Here is an 8,978-nt window from a genome sequence, read left to right as displayed (position 1 = left end):
CAAAGTTTACAACCCTTCTGAGAGTCCTTTGCTCTCATCTTTGCCTGATCACCTTTTAGCCCTTTCCCATTCTGTTGCCCTTCCACTAATCTGTGACTGCTCCCAGATAGGCTGCTAACCAGCTAGGAAGAGTGGCTGGGCTCCAGACAGAAGCCAGCACTGACCTCTTCATTTTCATCTTCACCATCCTCTCGAAGAACCATGTCTAGGATGTTTCCTTTGATCTTGAAGTCTCGTGAGGTGCTGAGCTTCATGTGCTGCATCAGGTTCACCTATGACAAGATTGTAAGCATGGGACATCTCCCTACTCATAGGTCCTGCCAGAACAGCTTAAGCCATTTTTAGTTCACCTCTGAGAAACCTTTCCATTTCTACCTAAAGCAAGCACGCACCCACTTCCTTCTGTATGCTGGGGTTCAGGTCATCAGATCAAGAACAGCAAAGAGGCTGAGTGTGGTGGCTCATGCCTGTAATCCCAGCACTTTGGGAGGCCAAGGTGGAAGGATCACTTCAGGCCAGGAGTTTGAGACCAGCCTGGGCAGCATAGTGAGACCCCATCTCTACAAAAACAAACCCAAAAAACTAGTGGGGTATGATGGCATATGACTGTAGTCCCAGCTACTCTGGAGGCTGAGGCCAGAGGATCACTTGAATGTGCACTCCAGCCTGGGTGACAGAATGAGACACAGTCTCAAAAAAAAAAAGGGGGGGGGGGGGAGAGGGGGGATGGCAAACACACAAATGGCCCAGAGTCTCTTTTCCTCCATTGTAGTTGTGCTGCTTCAGTTTGCCAGATCTGTCAAGAAGGTAAATGGGAATGGTAGCACATAATAAGAGAATGTTTACCTTGGACTTCTTAGAAAGGTGGATGAGAAATTTTTCATACTGTTCTATGGCAAAGATGAGGTTAGGGATTGGCTTGGTTTCCCGAAGAACTCTGGCCTAAGGGCAAAGAACATAAGACTTAAATTTCAGGTTCAATGGTTTTTGAAGTTTTCCTCTGAAGCTGTCACTTACAAAACTGTATGGCTTTAGGGGAAAACTAGTCTGTCTCCCAATCAAATGCAGTTGTATACCAGTAATCTAAAATTTTTGGCAGTTCAATCTGGAAGGACCCAAATGCCAGTAGAGATAATTGCACTGATCCATTTCATTTATAATTCCAGTATTTGTTGTTATCTAGAAAATGGCTGAGGAGGGCAGGATCACTTGTAGAAATTTAGTTGCTTTTCTGACTTGAAATTCTTAAGCCTATTTTGGCCCTAGCTCTATTTCCTTGTTCTGGTCTGGGTATGAATTTTCACTGCTGGGATTATATATCTTTCCCCCTAACGTGAATTGTAATTTGTAGGTTCTACGTGTGTGTGTGTGTGTCTTTCCCCCTAACGAAAGGTCCTACATTTTTGTGTGTGGTCCTACGTTTTTGTGTGTGTGTCTTTCCTCCTAACGTGAATTGTAATTTGTAGGTCCTACATTTGTGTGTGTGTGTGTGTGTCTGTGATTATATATCTTTCCCCCTAACGTGAACTGTAATTTGTAGGTCCTACATTTGTGTGTGTGTGTGTGTGTGTGTGTGTGTGATTATATATCTTTCCCCCTAACGTGAATTGTAATTTGTAGGTCCTACGTGTGTGTGTGTGTGTGTGTGTGTGTATTTTTAACCCATGAGGATACTGTACAAATTTTTTTTAACATTATCTTGGAGATAATTCCAGAGAGCTGAACATTTAGATGTTTATTTTTTTCATATCTCTCCAGTATAAATATATTATAACCTATTTAGCCAGTCCTCTATTAATGGATATCTTTGTTTCTAATATTTCACTTTTATAAATAATGTTGTGAGGACCATCCTGTACACAGGCCTGTATATCCTAAAAGTGAAACTGCTACATCAGAATGGGATTCAGTAGTCATTGCTAAGCCTCTGGAGAGGCTGTACTAATTTTCACCTTTGCCAGCAATGTACTAAGTGCCTCCTTTCCTGTACCCCCGCTGACTCTTACACATCTTTTAGGGAGCACCTTTTGCATTCACCAACTTTACCTAAAAATAATTTCTCCCAATTGAGTATCGTAAGTTATTTTACTATTTCCATTTCAACTCAAGATTTTCTGGTGCTTCGTGAATAAAACATGTTTTTGGTTCAGAGGAAAAATAAGATGCTCCATCTGATCATAAAATCCCTGAGTTGAGAAGCAGCCATGTATATAATACACACAATTTTTTCTAACAGCTTGATAGAGCTGTAATTCATATACCATACAATTCACTCACAATGTACTTTTTTTTCAGTATTTGCAGAGTTGTGCAACCATCATCACAGTCAATTCTAAAACATTTTCATCACCCCCAAAAGAAATTCCATACCGTTTTTAGCTGTCACCCCAGTCTCCCCATCTTCCAACCCACCTAGCTCTACGCTACCACTAATCTAGTTTGCCTTTTTAGATGATTTATTCTGGGCACTTCATGAAAATGGAATCATACAACACGTGGTCTTTTTGTCACTGGCTTCTTCCGCTTCATGTTTTCGGGTTCACCAACAAGCATATTTTAACGGTCAGTGTCAGCAGCTTACCATGGCTGTGGCAACGGCAGCAGGTTTCTCCTTTTTCTCTCCCGTATAGTTCAGGCTCTTACTCTTATTCTAAAGAAATAGAAACACATTCTCTTATTCCTGATGATTTTTCTGTGGAGCTAGCATGCTAGTGCTAATTTTTTTTTTTTTTTTTTTAAGACAGAGCTTTGCTGTCACCCAGGCTGGTGTGCAGTGGCGTGATGTCGACCCACTGTAACCTCTGCGCCCCGAGTTAAGTGATTCTTGTGCCTCAGCCTCCCGAGTAGCTGGGACTACAGGCACGTGCCACCACACTCAGCTAATTTTTGTATTTTTAGTAGAGACGGTGTTTTGCCATGTTGGCCAGGCTGGTCTCGAACTCCTGGCCTCAGGTGATCTGCCGGCCTCAGCCTCCCAAAGTGCTGGGATTACAGGCCTAAGCCACCATGCCCACCAACTAGTGGCAATTTTCTTAGAAGGTAATTACACAGGGTATGAGGACCAAGTCTGGAGTAAACAGGACTATCTGTGCAACAGATGTTAGAAGATAGGGAAAAAATGGATGCTTTGTAATCCTCAGATATTTTTTCTTTTTTAGTTGTTGAGAGGTTTACAATCTGTTGTTCTTAGAGCTGGCACATGGAAGTTGAAGGCAGGACTATTACTGCAGTGGGTCAGCCAAGGGGCTGGTGAGGTACTAAAGAATGGTTAAAATGGGGACTGTCAAGGTGGTAGCAGGAATATTCATTTCTATTTCTATTTTAGCCAGTGGGCTAGAAGGATCCCATAAAGGAGAGGAAGCTGAGGAGGCTGCTGCAGGGCCCTGCAGTCTTCCCACTTACAGGCAATCACCAGATATATTTTATTTTCGTTACTCAGCAAAGCCAAAACCAGATATATTTTATGTGCAATGGGTTATCATGCTCAAGAAGGGTTAAAAGGGTCACAGAACACTTCCCTGTGTTGTAAATTATTGGGTAATAAAGAGCTCCTGGAGAGGGATGAATAACTAATAAAAGGAACCAAAAAGTGTAAGATTCTGATAAAGCAAAAGAAAATCAAGACTTGAGTCAGGAGAGACTGGGGAGAAAAACCACCCAAATGTAAGGTACGGTACAGAAATGTAGGCAGCTTTTTACCTCAAGGGGAGTTCTAAACCTTCTTAGGAAGGGAACATACCATGCTCCACGAGGGCAACAGAATAAAGAAACAGACCTGAAAATACAGAGAGGCTCTGCAACTGGAGCCATGAGAGAAACAGGAGACTTGTTCCACATGCCACGTTCTGGAAAATAAGGAACTGCAGACATTCCAGAGGGGCTGGTATGCAGTAATCTGTTTTTGGCCCTGGAAGGCAGGGTAGAGCATGGAAGAGGGTGAAGGCAGCAGAAGAGGGCAAGGAAGCAGTCACGGATCGACCTCACTGACCAAGTGGGAAGTGAACCATCTTCCCAGAGGTTGTGTCCAAGATGGGGCCCTGTTGGAACTCCTTAGATCAACCCTGTTCCCTGCCCATTCCAACTGATCCGGGCGGGCAGGACTAAAATTAGAGCCAGAAGAGAAGCATCTTTTTTTGAGGTGGAGTTTCACTCTGTCGCCCAGGCTGGAGTACAATGGTGCGATCTCAGCTCACTGCAACCTCTGCCTCCCAGGTTCAAGCGATTCTCCTGCCTCAGCTTCCCGAGTAGCTGGGATTACAGGCACGCACTACCATGCCCGGCTAATTTTTTTTTTTGAGACAGAGTCATGCTCTGTTGCCCAGGCTGGAGTGCAGTGGTGTGATCTCATCTCACTGCAACCTCCACCTCCCGGGTTCAAGCAATTCTCCTGCCTCAGCCTCCCGAGTAGCTGGGATTACAGGCGCCTGCCACCATGCCCAGCTAATTTTTGTATTTTTTTTAGTAGAAATGGGGTTTCACCATGTTGGCCGGGCTAGTTTCGAACTCCTGACCTTGTGATCCGCCTGCCTCAGCCTCCCAAAATGCTGAGATTACAGGTGTGAGCCACCGTGCCCTGCTATTTTTTGTATCTTTAGTTGAGACGGGATTTCACCATGTTGGCCAGGCTGGTCTCAAACTCCAGACCTTGTGATTCTCCCACCTCGGCCTCCCAAAGTGCTGGGATTACAGGCATGAGCCACCATGTCCGACCCTTGAGAAGCATCTTTTAAAGGTATACAGTTCTGGGCAGGATGCTAAGAGTTGCAGCAATGGTTTTCGTTGCTTTCTTCCCATTGAGATCTAAGGAACTGGGGAAATGAAGAGGGGGCTACAAGAGAATTAACAGTTCACTGAGAGGTGTGGAAAATGCAATCCCCATTTCTAGTTAAGAGCTGGAGTTAATGGAACCATGCATGGGCTCTTGCCCAGGGGGCACTCATTAAATACATCTCACAAAAACAGAAAAATGTAAAATGTTTGCCTGCAGATCAGCTGACTTGTCAGTAAGGCTTTAAGTCAAATATGGATGGAGGAGGAGGAAAATGCCTAGGGAGGAAATGAAACTGATTACTGTGTAATGAGGGGAAAATAATAGCAGTCTAGGAAGTAGTAGTGATTCCCAGAAGAAAATGCTTGAAAATGGGGTCAGAAACACGAAAATCAAAACCTTCCAACATTTTACATGTCAACAAGTACCAGGTATGACTCTAGAGCAATGGTTGACTGACTATAGCCCATAGTATAAATCTGGCCCACTGCCTGTTTTTGATAAGAAAATTTCATTGGAACATAGCCATGCTCGTTTATTTGTAAGTTATCTATGGCTGCTTTTATGTTCTAATAGTAGAGTTGAGTAGGTGTGATAGAGACTGTATGACCCACATTTACTATCTGGCCCTTTACAGAAAAAGTGTGCCAATTCCTGCTATCGAGTCTAACTAGCTGGGTTCAAGTCTCAGATCTGCCTTTTACTCATGGTCTGTTCTTGGGCATTCTGATTAACCTTTCTCATCATGCATATGGGGATAACTACTAATCATAACCTATAGCTAGGATGAATGAGATGATGTATGAAAAGAGCTTAACACATCAGACACAAGGTAGAGGTTCTCTAAGCATTACCTGTTCTAATAAAATTATTAGACAATGTGACTTTTGAATCATAACAAGGGTAGTAAATAGCATTTAACAGCAGTATTTCCCAAACTGTACTCTATGGAACATTATTCTGCCAAATAGTAACATTTGTTATTTTTTTAAAAATGTTCTTGAATAGGTCTGAAAACTACTAATGAACATACTGTTGGAACTCTCAGCACTGTTTTTATTTTTCTTGAGACAGGGTCTCACGCTGTTGCCTTGGAGTACAGTGGCATGATCATGGCTCACTGCAGCCTTCAAGTCCTAGGCTCAAGTGATCTTCCTGCCTCAGCCTCCCAAGTAACTGGGACTATAGGCAAACACCTGGCTTAAATTTTAAATTTTTTGTAGAGACGGGGTCTCACTATGTTGCCCAGGCTGGTCTTGAACTCCTGGCCTCAAGTGATCTTCTTACCTCAGCCTCCATTAACCACCATGACTGGTCTCAGCACCTTTAATATGCAAATGGACACCACGAATCTCTAAGGTGAGAGATATACGGTATGAGCATCTCTCCCTGAATTCCTTTTTTTTTTGAGGACTGTCTCAGTCTATATAGCATATTTTGTGAAATGTGTCTTTATAGGTATCATTAAGACTTGGAGATGAGGAAACTCAAAACCCAAATATGGGAATGGACAGATATATATCCTATATATAGACAACAGATTTGTTTGACGAATGGCACCCACATGAAAATTTACAAGCATGAGGTTTGAGAAAGCATTCCTGCAAGCATTTGGGTGAGATAAAAGGAGAGGACCAGAAGTAATAGCTTTATGACAGTTGACTACTGGCTGGATGGCTGGATATAGAAAATGGATGATGCATTCCTGACCCAGATCACAAAACTGATACAAAGGCAAGGTGACAGAGAGTCTCAACTATCAGCCCATTACTAAGAACTCCTTCAGCTAAACCCAGATGACAGCCCACTTGATGGCTGATTCTTTATTTTTTTTTTTTTTGAGACGGAGTTTCGCTCTTGTTGCTAGGCTGGAGCACAACAGTGCGATCTTTGCTCACTGCAACCTCCGCCCTCCAGGTTCAGGCGATTCTCCTGCCTCAGCCTCCCAAGTAGCTGGGATTACAGGTGCCCGCCAGCATGCTCAGCTAATTTTTTGTATTTTTTGTAGAGATGGGGTTTCACCATGTTGGCCAGGCTGGTCTTGAAGTCCTGACCTCAGGTGATCCACCCGCCTCGGCCTCCCAAAGTGCTGCAATTACAGGCATGAGCCACTGTGCCCAGCTGATTGCTGATTCTTAAAGGGAGGGGAAGAGGCACCCTGAATACACATAATGAGGCAAGTTACTGATAGAATGATATTGTGCCTGTAAGTGATGCAGAGGCAGAAAACAAGTGAAGCATCACTACCAAAGTGGTCACGATCCATTGCTTTAATAATTGGTTCTAGAATCTTGGCTGAGATTGACACTTAGTGGACCCATTCTCTTTGATTCCTCAAAGATCAGTAACAGCCCTGTGATACATTTACTGCATGACTAAGTGGCCTTAGGAGACAGTAGATCTCTCGTTTCTTCCTCTTTCCAACGAGGGGTGATTCTGTCCCTTAAGGACAACTGGCAATTTCTGGAGACATTTTTGGCTGTTAAAACTAGGGGGCTGCTACTGGCATCTGGTAGGTGGAGGCCAGGGATGCTACTCAACATCCCAAAATGCACAGAACAGGTCCCACAACAAAGAATTATCTAGCGCAACATGTCAATAGTGGTGAGGTTAAAAAACTGGTTTAAGCAAACAGTAAAGGAGATTCAAGTACTGCAGGAATCTGATGGTATTTAGGACCAAATGACACTTACAAAGCCACGTCCTTCCACTTCCCTGAAAGTGCCCTCACTGCACTGCCGTCTCATCACAACCCTTCTTCATGTGCTTGCTGCTACTCTGCTCACATTCCCAGAGGATGCCTCATGGCATGGACTTTCAGTCACCCAGGAATAAACCAAGTCCTTGAGCCTGAGCATGCTTGTTCCTTCCTTGCTCCAAATGCAAACATATATGCTTCCTTTCTCCAAATTAAGTGAAACAGTTTTCTTTACATAAAGATGTCCTTGCTGCAAAGCCCTCAAGCCTTGGCTTGGTCTCTGATGGGTGCCTCCAGCTTGTGGTAAGCAGGGAAAAAAGTTTATATATGCTCAGTTCAGGTGATCAATAGTCCCCTGGGCATGTAAGAAATCCTTTCTTGAAGACCTATTGGGTACTGCCTCTGAATCTCTTACCTGTACGTAAGAAATGAAAGAATAACACAGGGGGGTCAGATGAGAACCAGACAGCTTCACCTGCACAACAAGGGAGAAGGAAACCAATGTAACCAGCAGTAAAAGTGCTTCCCCCATTCCTAGGAAAGGCATTCTCAACTCACCAGCTTTTCCATATTTTTTGGAATTCCTCCGGAGCTCTGACACACCTGGAGATACTAATAAAAAAAGATTCCTAGATTTAGTAGACTGTCCTATGAAACTACAAGTGACTGCTGCAGTGAGCCTATGGAGTGTGACTCATCATTCTGACTGAAGAGGAAAAACAAAATTCACAGAGAAGCCAAGACACAAGCTTCCTTATTCCTCTCCTCCAAAGCTCCTAAGCTTCCCAGACAATAAGTAATGAAGGGTTTGTTTCTGATTTGCTCATTTCTTTAAAAATTCCTCAGGCTGGTAGTCCCTGCATGTAAAAAACCAACAACTTTGCTGTTTTTCCTTTTAAAGATGCCAATAAAGAGAAGAGGCTCTCAGTATTTCCACTACAGCAGCTTAGCCACATGTAGCTAGAGCTACACATTCTGAGAGAGCCACACTGCTGTGATGCGGGGTGGTCCACATCTTTCTTGGATTATCTGTGCCTTTCTAAGTATTTAATATGGATCATTGCTAGGAACATAAACAGTAAGGGCAGGGTATGCCTTGTATTTTTATAAAAAATAATTTTCTTCCCCACCTTAGTATTTGATCTATAAGGCATTTAACACCTACATGTTAAAGGAATGAAAAAAGGAATAAACATCTCTTTAAGTGTCCAGACTGGTTAGAAATGGTATAATTTCTATGCATTATGGGCCCAGATTTAATTCTAGGATAGTTATAGTTTAGATTAAACCTTAGAAGGTATTTAAAAGAGGCATTCATTCTCAATCAGGTGCCACATACATGCCAAAGAATTAAGGGCCTCCAAAAGCAGATTTTTACTTTATTTTTTTAATTTTTGAGATGGAGTCTCACTCTATTGCCAACGCTGGAGTACAGTGGCACAATCTCAGCTCACTGCAACCTCCGCCTCCTGGGTTCAAGCGATTCTCCTGCCTCAGCCTCCTGAGTAGCTG

The 8,978-nt window shown here is 43.2% G+C and overlaps 1 protein-coding gene across 51 annotated transcripts in view; it reads right to left on the bottom strand.

Annotated features, from left to right (window-relative positions):
* Window positions 1-8,978, bottom strand: part of FANCI (FA complementation group I) — a 73,281-nt gene that overhangs the window by 1,706 nt on the left and 62,597 nt on the right. For all 51 annotated transcript variants that reach the window (XM_047432789.1, XM_047432806.1, XM_047432815.1 and 48 more), the window contains 5 exons: window positions 8,025-8,078; window positions 7,882-7,941; window positions 2,582-2,650; window positions 847-942; window positions 165-272 (listed from right to left, as the gene is read on the bottom strand). In XM_047432789.1, the coding sequence (XP_047288745.1) occupies window positions 165-272; window positions 847-942; window positions 2,582-2,650; window positions 7,882-7,941; window positions 8,025-8,078 (387 nt within the window). The remainder of the gene's footprint in view (window positions 1-164; window positions 273-846; window positions 943-2,581; window positions 2,651-7,881; window positions 7,942-8,024; window positions 8,079-8,978) is intronic.

The sequence above is a fragment of the Homo sapiens genome, chromosome 15, assembly GCF_000001405.40.
Source record: "Homo sapiens chromosome 15, GRCh38.p14 Primary Assembly".
In the NCBI taxonomy this organism is placed as follows: Eukaryota; Metazoa; Chordata; class Mammalia; order Primates; family Hominidae; genus Homo; species Homo sapiens.
This window is presented reverse-complemented; position numbering and strand designations above follow the sequence as displayed.